Raw genomic sequence first — 14,915 nt, 5'->3', positions numbered from 1 at the left:
AGAAGAAAAAGTGAAATCAGAGAAAGGGCACAGCCTTAGTCATGGCCCTCAGACAAACAAACCCTGGTGGTTCAGAGAGGACAGAAAATAGAGCAGGCCAATCAGCTGGTAGGGCTTGTTATCAGTGTGGTTTGCAAGGACACTTTAAAAAAGATTGTCCAGTGAGAAACAAGCTTCCCCCTCGCCCATGTCCACTATGCCGAGGCAATCACTGGAAGGCACACTGCCCCAGAGGACAAATGTTCTCTAGGCCAGAATCCCCCAACCAGCCGATCCAACAACAGGACTGAGGGTGCCTGGAACAAGCACCGGCTTATGTCATCACCCTCACTGAGCCCCAGGTACATTTAACTATTGAGGGACAGGAAATTGACTTCCTCTTGGATACTGGTGCGGCCCTCTCAGTGTTAATCTCCTGCCCTGGTCGGCTGTCCTCAAAGTCCATTACCATCTGAGGAATCCTGGGACAGCCTGTAACCAGGTATTTCTCCCACCTCCTCAATTGTAATTGGGAGACTTTGCTCTTTTCACATGCCTTTCTTGTTATGCCTGAAAGTCCCATATCCTTATTAGGGAGGGACATATTAGCCAAAGCTGGAGCTATTATCTACGTGAATATGGGGAACAAGTTACCCTTTTGTTGTCCCCTGCTTAAGGAGGGAATCAACACTGAAGTCTGGGCATTGGAAGGACAATGCAGAAGGGCAAAAATGCCCGCCCAATCCAAATCAGGCTAAAAGACCCCACCACTTTTCCCTATCAAACGCAATATCCCTTAAGGCCTGAAGTTCATAAAGGATTACAGGATATTGTTAGACATTTAAAAGCTCAAGTCTTAGTAAAAAAAAAAAAAAAAAAAAAAAATGCAGCAGTCCCTGCAACACCCCAATTCTAGGAGTAGAAAAACAGAACAGTCAGTGGAGACTACTGCAAGATCTTAGACGCATTAATAAGGCAGTAATTCCTCTATATCCAGTTGTACCCAACCCCTATATCCTGCTCTCTCAAATACCAGAGGAAGCAGAATGGTTCATGGTTCTGGACCTCAAGGATGCCTTCTGTATTCCCCTGCACTGTGACTCCCAGTTTCTCTTTGCCTTTGAGGATCCCACAGACCACACATCCCAACTTATGTGGACGGTCTTGCCCCAAGGGTTTAGGGATAGCCCTCATCTGTTTGGTCAGGCACTGGCCCAAGTTCTAGGCCACTTCTCAAGTCCAGGCACTCTGGTCCTTTAGCATGTGGATGATTTACTTTTGGCTACCAGTTCAGAAGCCTCATGCCAGCAGGCTACTCTAGGTCTCTTAAACTTTCTAGCTAATCAAGGGTACAAAGCATTTAAATCGAAGGCCCAACTCTGCCTACAACAAGTCAAATAGCTAGGCCTAGTCTTAGCCAGAGGAACCAGGGCCCTCAGCAAGGAATGAATACAGCCTATACTGGCTTGTCCTTGCCCTAAGACATTAAAACAATTGCAGGGGTTCCTTGGAATCACTGGGTTTTGCTGACTATGGATCCCCAGATAGAGCGAGATGGCCAGACCACTCTATACTCTAATCACGGAGACCCAGAGGGCAAATACTCATCTAGTAGAATGGGAACCAGAAGCAGAAACAGCCTTCAAAACCTTAAAGCAGGCCCTAGTACAAGCTCCAGCCTTAAGCCTTCCCACAGGACAAAACCTCTCTTTATATATCACAGAGAGAGCAGGATTAGCTCTTGGAGTCCTTACTCAGACTCGTGGGACAACCCTACAACTAGTGGCATACCTAAGTAAGGAAATTGATGTAGTAGCAAGAAGCTGGCCTCACTGTTTATGGGTAGTTGCGGCAATGGCCATCTTAGTATCAGAGGCTATCAAAATAATACAAGAAAAGAATCTCACTGTCTGGACTACTCATGGTGTAAATGGCATACTAGGTGCCACAGGAAGTTTATGGCTATCAGACAACCACCGGCTTAGATACCAGGAGCTACTCCTTGAGGGACTGGTGCTTCAAATATGCATGTGTGCAGCCCTCAACCCTGCTACTTTTCTCCCAGAGGATGGAGAACCAATCAAGCATGACTGCCAACAAATTATAGTCCAGATTTATGTTGCCTGAGAGGATCTCTTAGAAGTCCCCTTAGCTAATCCTGACCTTAACTTACATACTGCTGGAAGTTCATTTGTGGCTAATAAGATACAAAGGGCAGGTTATGCCATAGTTAGTGATGTAACAGTACTTGAAAGTAAGCCTCTTCCCCCAGGGACCAGCGATCAGTTAGTAGAACTAGTGGCACTTACGTGAGCCTTAGAACTGGGAAAGGGAAAAAGAATAAATGTGTATATAGATAGCAAGTATGCTTATCTAATCCTACATGCCCATGCTGCAATATGGAAAGAAAGGGAGTTCCTAACCTCTGGGGGAACCCCCATTAAATATCACAAGGAAATCATGGCGTTATTACAGTGCAAAAACCCAAGGAGGTGGCAGTCTTACACTGCCAAAGCCATGAGGAAGGATAGGGGAGAATAGCAGCATAAGCGGCTGGTAGAGGCAGGGAAAGACCAGCAGAAAGTCAAAGAGAGAAAGAAAGAGGAAAGAGAGAGAGAGGGGGAAAGACGGAAAGTCAGAGAAGGAAAGAGAGAGGGGAAAGACAAAGTCAAAGAGAGAAGGAAAGAGGGAGGGGAAGAGACAGAGAGACAAAAAGGGAGTGAGAGAGAGAGAGAGGAAGAGACAAAGACAGAAAGTCAGAGAGAAAGAGACAGAGAAGGAAAGAGAGAGAAAGAGAGAGAGATAGAAGTAGTAAAGAAAAAAGTGTGTACCCTATTCCTTTAAAAACCAGGGTAAATTTAAAACCTATAATTGATAATTGAAGGTCTTCTCTGTAACCCTGTAACACTCCAATACCACCTTGTTGTCAGTGTAACCAAGAGCGTAGCCCAAAAGCACTGAGGCCACTGACAATCTATAGCCTTCTTATCAAAAATCCTTAACCCAGCAGGTTTCCTGACAGGAGATCTAAAGCTTAATTAATTACCACACAAAGATCTGAACAGACCTAGGAGGAACCCCCTTTGGGACAGGATGATAGATGGTTCCTCCAAAGCTATTAAGGGAAAAAGACACAATGGGTATTCAGTAAGTGATAAGGAAACTCTTGTAGAAGCAGAGTTAGGAAAGTTGCTTAATAATTGGTCTGCTCAAACGTGTGAGCTGTTTGCACTCAGCCAAACCTTAAAGTACTTACAGCATCAGAAAGGAGCCATCTATACCAATTCTAAGTTAATATGGACTGAACGAGGTCTTATTAATAGCAAAGAATAATTGAAATCCCAAACTTACAAGGTTTTTGACAAAAGTAAAGCTTGCTAAAAGTTAACAGTGTAACATGTATTATCCTAACTTCTAATCTTGAGGAAATCAGACCATATTAGTGCCCCTCAAAGCTGAAGTCTGTCAGTGCAGGGCCATACAACTAATAACCTTACTTATAGGGTTAGGAATGGCCACTGCTACAGGAACCAGAATCGCCAGTTTATCTACTTTACTATCCTACTACCACACACTCTCAAAGGATTTCTCAGACAGTTTACAAGAAATAACAAAATCTATCCTTACTCTACAATCCCAGATAGACTCTTTGGTAGCAGTGACTCTCCAAAACCTCTGAGGCCTAGACCTCCTCACTGCTGAGAAAGGAGGACTCTGCACCTTCTTAGGGGAAGACTGTTGCTTTTACACTAACCGGTCAGCGATAGTACGAGATGCCGCCCAGCGTTTACAGGAAAAGGTTTCTCAAATCAGACAATGCCTTTCAAACTTTTTTTTTTTTTTTGAGACGGAGTCTCACTGTTTCACCCAGGCCAGAGTGCAGTGGCGCTATCTCGGCTCACTGCAAGCTCCACCTCCTGGGTTCACACCATTCTCCTGCCTCAGCCTCCCGAGTAGCTGGGACTACAGGTGCCCACCACTGTGCCTGGCTAATTTTTTGTATTTTTAGTAGAGACAGGGTTTCACCATGTTAGCCAGGTTGGTCTCGATCTCCTGACCTTGTGATCTGCCTGCCTCGGCCTCCCAAAGTGCTGGGATTACAGGCGTGAGCCACTGCGTCTGGCCGCCTTTCAAACTCTTATACCAACCTCTGGAGTTGGGTGACGTGGCTTCTCCCCTTTCTAGGTCCTGTGCAGCCATCTTGCTATTACTTGCCTTTGGGCCTTGTATTTTTAACATCCTTGTCAAATTTGGTTCCTGTAGGATCGAGGCTGTCAAGCTACAGATGGCCTTACAAATGGAATCCCAAATGAGCTCAATTAACAACTTCTACTGAGGACCCCTGGACCAACCCACTGACCCTTTGGCTGGCCTAGAGTTCCCCTCTGGAGGACACTACCACTGCAGGGCCCTTCTTCGCCCCTATCCAGCAGGAAGTAGCTAGAATGGTCATCGCCCAATTTCCAACAGCAGCTGGGGTGTCCTGTTTAGAGGGGAGATTGAGAGGTGAAGCCAGTTGGACTTCTGGGTTGGGTGGGGACTTGAAGAAATTTTCTGTCTTACAAGAGGATTGTAAAATGTACCAATCAGCACTCTGTAGCTAGGATTGTAAAATGCAGCAATCAGTGCTCTGTGGCTACCTAGAGGTTTGTAAAATGCACCAACCAGCACTCTGTAAAAACGCACCAATCAGCTCTCTGTGGCTAGCTAGAGGTTTGTAAAATGGACCAATCAGTGCTCTGTAAATTGGACCAATCAGCACACTGTAAAATGGACCAATCAGTGCTCTGTAAAATGGACCAATCAGCAGGACAGGGGCAGGGACAAATAAGGGAATAAAAGCTGGCCACCCCAGCCAGCAGCAGCAACCCACTCGGGTTTCCTTCCACGCTGTGGAAGCTTTGTTCTTTTGCTCTTCACAATAAATCTTGCTGCTGCTCACTCTTTGGGTCCATGCCAGCTTTATGAGCTGTAACACTCACCACAAAGGTCCGCAGCTTCATTCTTAAAGTCAGCAAGACCAAGAACCCACAGGAAGGAACCAACTCCGGAAACACTATGGCTATTCAGGCTCTTTTTGGTTCCTTATGAATTTTAAGATTGTTTTTTCTAATTCTGTGAACAATGATGTTAGTATTTTGATAGATATTATGTTGAACCTGTAGATTGCTTTGGGCAATATGGTAATTTCAGTAATATTAATTCTTCTGTTTCAAGAGCATGGGATGTTTTTCCTTTGTGTCTTCTTCAATTTCTTTCATTGGTTTCTTGTAATTTTCCATGTACAGGTCTTTCACTTCCTTGGTTAAATGTGTTCCTGGGTATTTTATTTTATTTTTTGTAGCTTTTGTAAATGGGATTGCCTTTAAAAAAAAAATGGAGACAGGGTCTTGCTCTGTCACCTAGGCCAAAGTGGAGTGGTGCAATCAACTCACTGTAGCCTTGAATTCCTGTGTTCAAGCAATCCTTCTGCCTCAGCCTCTGAGTAGCTGGGACTACAGGTGCATGCCACCACACCTGGCTAATGTTATATTTTATTTTTTATTTTTTTGAGACAGAATCTTGCTCTGTCACTGGGCTGGATCTCGGCTCACTGCAACCTCTGCCTCCTGGGTTCAAGCAATTCTCCTGCCTCAGCCTCCTGAGTAGCTGGGACTACAGGTGCACACCACCACACCCGGCTAATTTTTGTATTTTTAGTAGAGATGGGGTTTCACCATGTTGGCCAGGGTGGTCTCTATCTCCTGACCTCGTGATCCACCTGCCTTAGCCTCCGAAAGTGCTAGGATTACAGGCATGAGCCACTGCACCCGGCCTATTTTTATTTTTATACAGGGTCTCACTATGTTGCCCAGGCTGGTCTTGGACTCCTGGCCTTAAGTGATCCTACTGCCAAAGCCTCCTAAAGTGCTGGGATTACAGGCATGAGCCACTACACCTGGCTGGGATTGCCTTCTTGATTTATTTCTCAGCTAGATCATTATTCATGTATAGCAACACGACTGGTTTTTGTACATCAATTTTTTTATATCCTGTAACTTTAGTGAATTCATTCATCAAATCTAAGAGTTTTTTAGTAGAGTCTTTAGGTTTTTCTGGATATAGGATCATATATCATATCATCAACAAACAGCAAAATTTGAGTTTCTCTTTTGCAATATGGATGCCTTTTCTTTCTTTCTCTTGCCTGATTGCTCTGGCTAGGACTTCCAGTACTATGTTGAATAGGAGTGGTAAAAGTGACTTGTCTTGTTCCAGTTCTTAGAGGAAAGGCTTTCCACTTTTCTCCATGCAGTATGATGTTAGCTGTGGATTTGTTGTATATGCCCTTTGTTAATTTGAGGTATGTTCCTTCATTGCCTAATTTCTTGAGACTATCATGAAGGGATGTTGAATTTTATCAAATGCTTTTTCTACTTCTATTGAATTCATCATACAGTTTTTGTCCTTCATTCTGTTGATATGGTGTATCATGTTTACTGATTTACATATATTGAACCATCCTTGCACCCCTTTTATAAATCCCACTTGATTATGGTGGGGTTTTTTTTGGTTTTTGTTATTATTATTATTATTATTATTATTATTATTATTATTATTTTTAGAAGGAGTCTCACTCTGTCGCCCAGGCTGGAGTGCAGTGGTGTGATCTCAGCTCACTGCAACCTCCATCTCCTGATTTCATGCAATTCTTCTGCCTCAGCCTCCCAAGTAGCTGGGATTACAGGCGCCCACCATCACACCTGGCTAATTTTTGTATTTTTAGTAGAGATGGGTTTTCACCATGTTGACCAGGCTGGTCTTGAACTCCTGACCTCAGGTGATCTGCCTGCCTTGGCCTCCCAAAGTGCTGGGATTACAGGTGTGAGCCACCACACCCAGCCCAGGTGTGTTATCTTTTTGATGTGCTGTTGGATTTGGTTTGCTAGTATTTTGTTGAGGAATGTTGTATTAATGTTCATCAGATATACTGCCCTGTAGTTTTCTTTTTTGCTGTGGCCTTTTCTGGTTTTGGTATCAGGGTGATGCTGGCCTCATAGAATGAGTTAGGGAGAATTCTCTCTTCTTTGATTTTTCAGAATAGTTTTTAGGAGGGTTGGTATTAGTTCTTTTACATTTGGTAGAATTCAGCTGTAACTCTATCCAGTAAAGGGTTTTTCTTTGTTAAGAAGATTTTTATTACTGTTTCAATCTTGTTACTTGTTATTGGTCTGTTTGCGTTTTCTATTTCTTCTTGGTTCAAACTTGGTAGGTTGTATGTGTCCAGAAATTTTTCCATTTCTTCTGTTTTTTCCAGTTTGTCTATGTATAATTGTTCATAGTAGTCCCTGATGATCTCTTATATTTTCGTGTTACCAGTTGTAATGTCTCCTTTTTCATTTCTGATTTTATTTGGGTCTTCTCTCTTTTTTTCTTGGTTAGTCTGGCTAGTGATTTATCCATGTTGTTTATCTGTTTGAAGAGCAAACTTTTTGTTTTGTTTATCCTTTGTATTTTCTTAGTCTGTTTTTCATTTAGTTCTGCTCTGATCTTTATTCCTTTTTTCTGCTAATTTGGAGTTTGGTTTGTTCTTACTTTTTCAGTCCTTTGAGGTACATTGTTAGCTTGTTAACTTGTGATCTTTCTATTTTTTGATGTAGGCAGTTACTGCTATAACTTCCCTTTTTGCACTACTTTTGCTGTATCCCACAGATTTTGGTATATTTCATTTCCTTAAAGAATTTTTTTTTATTTCCATCTCAATTTCTTCATTGACTCAATTGTCGTTCAGGAGCATGTTGTTTAATTTCCATATATTTCTATAGTTTCCAAAGTTCCTCTTGGTATTGATTTCTAGTTTTATTCCATTGTGGTCAGAGGAGATACTTGATATGAATTTGATTTCTAAAAAATTGTTGAGGCTTGTTTTGTGGCCTAACATATGGTCTATCCTGGAGAATGTGTTGTATGCTGATGAAAAGAATCTATATTCTGCAGTCGTTGGATAGAAAGTTCTGTAAATCACTGTAAGGTTCATTTGGTCTGAAGTCCAGCTTAAGTCCAATGTTTATTTGTTGATTTTCTGTCTAGATGATCTGTCTAATGCTGAAAGTGGGGTGTTGAAGTCCCCCACTATGATTGTATTGCAGGCTATCTCTCTATTTAGATCTAATAATATTTGCTTTATGAATATGGGTGCTCCAATGTTGGGTGCATATATGTTTATAACTGTTATATCCTCTTGCTAGATTGATTCCTTTATCATTATAAAATGACTTTGTGTGTGTGTGTGTGTGTGTTACTGGTCTTGACTTAAAGTCTGTTTTATGTAGTATAATAAGCATAGATACTCCTGCTCACTTTTGGTTTCTGTTTGTATGGAATATCTTTTTCCATTTCTTTACTTTCAGTCTATGTGTGCCTTTACTGATAAGGTGAATTTCCTGTAAGCAACATACAGTTTGATCATCTTTTTAAAAAAATCTATTTGATCAGTCTGTCTTACTCTGTCACCCAGGCTGGAGTGAAGTGGTGTGATCTCGGCTCACTGCAATCTCTGCCTCCTGGGTTCAAGTGATTCTCAGCCTCAGCCACCCAAGTAGCTGGGATTACAGGCACGTACCACCACACGTAGCTAATTTTTGTTTCGCTATGATATGGCGATGGGGTTTTGCTATGTTAGCCAGGCTGGTCTTGAACTCCTGGCCTCAAGCAATCCACCTGCCTCTGCCTCCCAAAGTGTTGGGATTATACGCATGAGCCACCACACCTAGCTCCAATCAGTGAATATCTTTTTAGTGAAGAATTTAAACCATTTTCATTCAAGGTTATTATTGATATATGAGGCTTTGTTCCTATCATATTGTTGTTTCCTGGTTGTTATGCATATTCTTTGTTTCTTTTTCTCTTATTGTCATTGTGGCTTGGTGGATTTCTGTAGTGGTACTATTTGAGCTCTTTCTCTTCCTCCTTTGTGTGATTGCTTTACCAGTGAATTTTGTTTCATGTGTTTTCATGATGGTAAATGTTGTCCTTTTGTTTCTGAGTTTAGGGCTCCCTTGAGCATTTCTTGTAGGACCAGTCTAGTGGTAACAAATTCCCTCAGCATTTGCTTATTTGGGAAAGACATTTCTCCTTCATTTATGAAGGGTAACTTTGTTGAATAAAATATTTTTGGCTGTTGACATTTTTCTTCCAGCACTTTGAATATATCATCCAATTATCTTCTGACCTGTAAGGTTTCTGCTGAGAAATCCACTGTTAGTCTCATAGGCTTTCCTTTATAGGTAATAGATGCTTTTCTCCTGCTGTTTTTAGGAATCAATCATTATCTTGGACTTTAGAAAATCAGACTATAATGTACTGTGAAAGAGACCTGATATGGTTTGGCTGTGTCCCCACCCAAATCTCATCTTGAATTGTAATAATCCCCACATGTCAAAGGCAGGACCAGGTGGAGATTATTGAAACATGGAGATGGTTTTCCCCATGCTGTTCTCATGATAGTGAGTGAGTTCTCACAAGATCTGATGTTTTTATAAGGGGCTTCCCCACCTTCACTCAGTGCTCAGGCTCTCTCCTGCTGCCCTGTAAAGAGGTGTCTTCTATCATGATTGTAAGTTTCCTGAGGCCTCTCCAGCCATGTGGAACTGTGAGTCAATTAAACTTCTTTTCTTTATAAATTACCTAGTCTCGGGTATTTATTCATAGGAGCTTGAGAACAGCCTAATAGGGTAAATTGGTACCAGGAAGGGGGTGCTGCTATAAGGATACTTAAAAATGTGGAAGCAACTTTGGAACTGGGTAAGAGGCAGAGGTCAGAATGGTTTGCAGACACGAAAATGTGGGAAAGTTTGGAACTTCCTAGAGACTTTTTGAATGGCTTTGACCAAAATGCTGACAGTGATATGGACAATGGAGTCCAGGCTGAGGTTGTTTCAGATGGAGATGAAGAACTTTTTGGGAATTGGAATAAAGTTGACTCTTGCTATGCTTTAGCAAAGAGACTGGCAGCATTTTGCCCTTGCCCTAGAGATCTGTGGAACTTTGAACTTGAGAGAGATAATTTAAGGTATCTGGTGGAAGAAATTTCTAATTGACAAAGCGTTCAAAGGAAGCAGAGCATAAAAGTTTGGAAAATTTGCAGCCTGATGATGCAATAGGAAAGAAAAACCAATTTTCTGAGGAGAAATTCAAGCCTGCTGCAGAAATTTACATAAGTAATGAGGAGCCAAATGTTAATCACCAAGACAATGGGGAAAATGTTTCCAGGGCATGTCAGAGAACTTCAGGGCAGCCCTCCCCATCACAGGCCTGGAGGCCTAGGAGGAAAAAATGGTTCTGTGGGCCAGGCCCAGGCCCTCTTTGTTGTGTGCAGCCTAGACACTTGGTGCCTTACATCCCAGCTGCTTCAGCCATGGTACAGCTTGGGCTGTGGCTTCAGAGGGTGCAAGCCCTGAGCCTTGGCAGCTTCCACATGGTGTTGGGCCTGCAGGTGCAGAGAAGTAAAGAATTGAGGTTTGGGAATCTACGCCTAGATTTCAGATGAAATGCATGGATGTCCAGGCAGAAGTTTGCTGGGGGACGGAGCCCTCATGGATGAAACTCTGCTAGGGCAGCACAGAAGGGAAACGTGGGGTTGGAACCCCCACAGAGAGTTCCCACTGGGGCACTGTCTACTGGAGCTGTGAGAAGAGGGCCACCATCCTCCAGACCCCAGAGTGGTAGATTCACTGACAGCTTGCACCGTGTGCCTGGAAAAAATGCAGACACTCAACACCAGCCCGTGAAAGCCAAGAGTGGGGCTGTGCCCAGCAAAGCCACAGAGGTGGAGCTGGCCAAAGCCATGGGGGCCCACCTCTTGCATCAGCATGACCTGGATGTGAGAAATAGAGTCAAAGGAGATTATTTCAGAGCTTTAAGATTTAATTGCTGCCTTGTTGGATTTCGGACTTGCATGAGGCCTGTAGCCCCTTTGTTTTGGCCAATGTCTCCCCTTTAGAACAGGTATATTTACCCAATGCCTGTACCTCTATTGTATCTAGGAAGTAAATTTTTTTTTTGACGGAGTCTAGCTCTGTCACCAGGCAGGAGTGCAGGGTCGCAATCTCAGCTCACTGCAATCTCTGCCTCCTGGGTTCAAGCGATTCTCCTGCCTCAGCCTCCCGAGTAGCTGGGATTACAGGCACACACCGCCATGCCCAGCTAATTTTTGTATTTTTAGTAGAGATGGGATTTCACCATGTTGACCAGGATGGTCTCAATCTCCTGACCTCGAGATCCACACACCTTGGCCTCCAAAAGTCTTGGGATTACCGGCGTGAGCCACTGTATCTGGCCAGAAGTAACTATCTTTCTTTTGATTTTACAGGCTAGGTGGAAGGGACTTGCCTTGTCTCAGATGAGACTTTGGACCTGGACTTCTGGGTTAATGCTGAAATTAAGTTCAGACTTTCGGGGACTGCTGGAAGAGAATGATTGTGTTTTGAAATGTGAGGACAGAGATTTGGGAGGTGCCAGGGTGGAATGATGTGGCTTGGCTGTGACGCCACCCAAATCTTGCATGGGGACTGTGGCCCCTTTGTTTTGGCCAATGTCTCCCCTTTGGAACAGTTATATTTACCCAATGCCTGTACCTCCATTGTGTCTAGGAAGTAACTATCTTTTTTTTCAATCTTGAATTATAACAATCCTCATGTGTCAAGGGCAAGACCAGGTGGAGATAATTAAATCATGGGGGCAGTTTCCCCATGCTGTTCTAATGATAGTGAGTTCTCATGAGGTCTGATGGTATTATAGGAGGCTTCCCCTTCACTCAGTGCTGATTCTGTCTCCTGCTGCCCAGTGAAGAGGTGCCTTCTGTCATGATTCTAAGTTTCCTAAGGCCTCCCCAGCCTTAGGGGAAACATGAGTCAATTAAACCTCTTTTCTTTATGACAAACCCACAGCCAATATCATACTGAATGTGCAAAAACTGGAAGCATACCCTTTGAAAACTGGCACAAGACAGGGATGCCCTCTCTCACCACTCCTATTCAACAAAGTGTTGCCAGTTCTGGCCAGGGCAATCAGGCAAGAGAAAGAAATAGAAGGTATTCAATTAGGAAAAGAGGAAGTCAAATTGTCCCTCTTTGCAGGCGACATGATCGTATGTTTAGAAAACCCCATCGTCTCAGCCCCAAATCTCCTTAAGCTGATAAGCAACTTCAGCAAAGTGTCAGGATACAAAATCAATGTGCAAAAATCACAAGCATTCCTATACACCAAGAACAGACAAACAGAGAGCCAAATCATGAGTGAACTCCCATTCACAATTGCTACAAAGAGAAATACCTAGGAATCCAACTTCCAAGGGACGTGAAGGACCTCTTCAAGGAGAACTACAAACCACTGCTCAATGAAATAAAAGAGGATACAAACAAATGGAAGAACATTCCATGCTCGTGGATAGGAAGAATCAATACTGGAAAATGGCCATACTGCCCAAGGTAATTTATAGATTCAATGCCATCCCCATCAAGCTACCAATGACTTTCTTCACAGAATTGGAAAAAACTACTTTAAAGTTCATATGGAACCAAAAAGGAGCCCACATTGCCAAGACAATCCTAAGCAAAAAGAACAAAGCTGGAGGCATCATGCTACCTGACTTCAAACTATACTACAAGGCTACAGTAGCCAAAACAGGATGGTACTGGTACCAAAACAGATATATAGATCAATGGAACAGAACAGAGGCCTCAGAAATAGCACCACATATCTACAACTATCTGATCTTTGACAAACCTGAGAAAAACAAGAAATGGGGAAAGGATTCCCTATTTAATAAATGGTGCTGGGAAAACTGGCTAGCCATGTGTAGAAAGCTGAAACTGGATCCCTTCTTTACACCTCATACAAAAATTAATTCAAGATGGATTAAAGACTTAAACGTTAGACCTAAAACCATAAAAACCCTAGAATAAAACCTGGGCAATACCATTCAGGACATAGCCATGGGCAAGGACTTCATGACTAAAACACCAAAAGCAATGGCAACAAAAGCCAAAATAGACATTTGGGATCTAATTAAACTAAAGAGCTTCTGCACAGCAAAAGAAACTACCAACAGAGTGAAAGGCAACCTACAGAATGGGAGAAAATTTTTGCAATCTACTCATCTGACAAAGGGCTAATATCGAGAATCTACAAAGAACTTAAACAAATTTACAAGAAAAAATCAAACAACCCCATCAAAAAGTGGGCAAAGGATATGAACAGACACTTCTCAAAAAAAGACATTTATGCAGCCAACAGACCCATGAAAAAATGCTCATCATCACTGGTCATCAGATAAATGCAAATCAAACCACAGTGAGATACTGTCTCACGCCAGTTAGAATGGCAATCATTAAAAAGTCAGGAAACAACAGATGCTGGAGAGGATGTAGAGAAATAGGAATGCTTTTACATTGTTGGTGGGAGTGTAAATTAGTTCAGCCATTGTGGAAGACAGTGTGGTGATTCCTCAAAGATCTAGAGCTAGGAATACTGTTTGACCCAGTGATCCTATTACTGGGTATATACCCGAAGGATTATAAATCATGCTACTATAAAGACACACGAACACATATGTTTACTGTGGCACTATTCACAATAGCAAAGACTTGGAACCAACCAAATGTCCATCAATGATAGACTGGATTAAGAAAATGTGGCACATATACACCATGAAATACTATGCAGCCATAAAAAAGGATGAGTTCATGTCCTTTGCAGGGACATGGATGAAGCTGGAAACCATCATTCTGAGCAAACTATCTCAAGGACAGAAAACCAAACACCACATGTTCTCACTCATAGGTGGGAATTGAACAATGGGAACACTTGGACACAGGGAGGGGAACATCACACACCAGGGCCTGTCATGGGGTGGGGGCCTGGGGGAGGGATAGCATTAGGAGAAATACCCAATGTAAATGACGAGTTAATGGGTGCAGCAAACCAAATACATATATACTTATGTAACAAACCTGCACGTTGTGCACATTTACCCTAGAACTTAAAGTATAATAATAAAAAATTCAAAAAAGAGAGAGGCCTCAGGAGAAGCCACATCTGTGAACACCTTGATCTTGGACTTCTGGCCTCCAGAACTAAGAGGAAATAAATGTCTGTTGTTTAAGCCACCCAGTCTGTAGTATTTTGTTATGGCAGCCCTAGCAAACTAACACAACTGTAATAGCTTAAAATATGCATATTGGCAATGCCTACAGCAACCACTAAAAACTAAAACAAAGAAGCTGTTGCAGGTTGATTCCCATGAGCAGAGATGGAGTTCAGTGTGAAGGATGTTTATTAAGGAGTGCTCTTGGGATAAATACCTGTAGAAGGAAGGTGACACAAGCAGGGGTGGGCAGGATGAGAAGTCAGGTTGTTATGCTAGTCCAATAATAGCCTTGGCCAAGCCCACATGAAGCTACAGAACTAGAATGACTCTTCAGAATTGTGCTGAGTTGGATTGAGATGGTCAGACCTTAATATTCTTGCATTCAGCACTGGATGTTAGCCACCTTGGGAAGGCGAATGACCTTGAGCAAGGTAGCTCTCTGCAATCGTGGCAATCCCTGAAGGGTCTGTCAGCAGAAAGCTATCTGTCAACAGGTCTCCCAGCAGGGGAAACAATAATGACTTCTTGAAGAGGAACCTGAGCAGCATTTAACATTATCCATCACAGAGATCTAACCAATATATGGAGTGGAGATAAAATGAGATAACAAAAAATACTCAAATAACTCAAAAGAAGGCAGTTAAAGGGGAGAGGACAATGAACAGCTGGAACAAATAGAAAACAAATAGTAAGATGTGGGATTTAAAGAAACCACATCAATAATTACATTATGTAAATGGACTCTAAACACTCTAACCAAAAGACAGTGTTTACAGTTCAAGAAGATTAAAATTTAAATGATTTAAAG

General features: G+C 42.4%; 1 protein-coding gene across 2 annotated transcripts in view, besides 1 other annotated feature; it reads right to left on the bottom strand.

Annotated features, from left to right (window-relative positions):
• XYLB (xylulokinase) overlaps positions 1-14,915 on the bottom strand; it is a 106,257-nt gene that overhangs the window by 9,457 nt on the left and 81,885 nt on the right. The gene's annotated exons all lie outside the window — the stretch shown is intronic.
• Positions 10,441-10,641: a silencer, noted in NCBI's record as "peak4613 fragment used in MPRA reporter construct". NCBI's record gives its function as "represses an SCP1 promoter by STARR-seq MPRAs in K562 erythroleukemia cells {active_cell/tissue: K562}" and the evidence as "EXISTENCE:reporter gene assay evidence [ECO:0000049][PMID:32103011]".

This window comes from Homo sapiens, chromosome 3, assembly GCF_000001405.40.
Source record: "Homo sapiens chromosome 3, GRCh38.p14 Primary Assembly".
Classification (NCBI taxonomy): domain Eukaryota; kingdom Metazoa; phylum Chordata; class Mammalia; order Primates; family Hominidae; genus Homo; species Homo sapiens.
The sequence above is the reverse complement of the archived record's forward strand: the minus strand, read 5'-3'. Positions and strand labels throughout refer to the sequence as shown.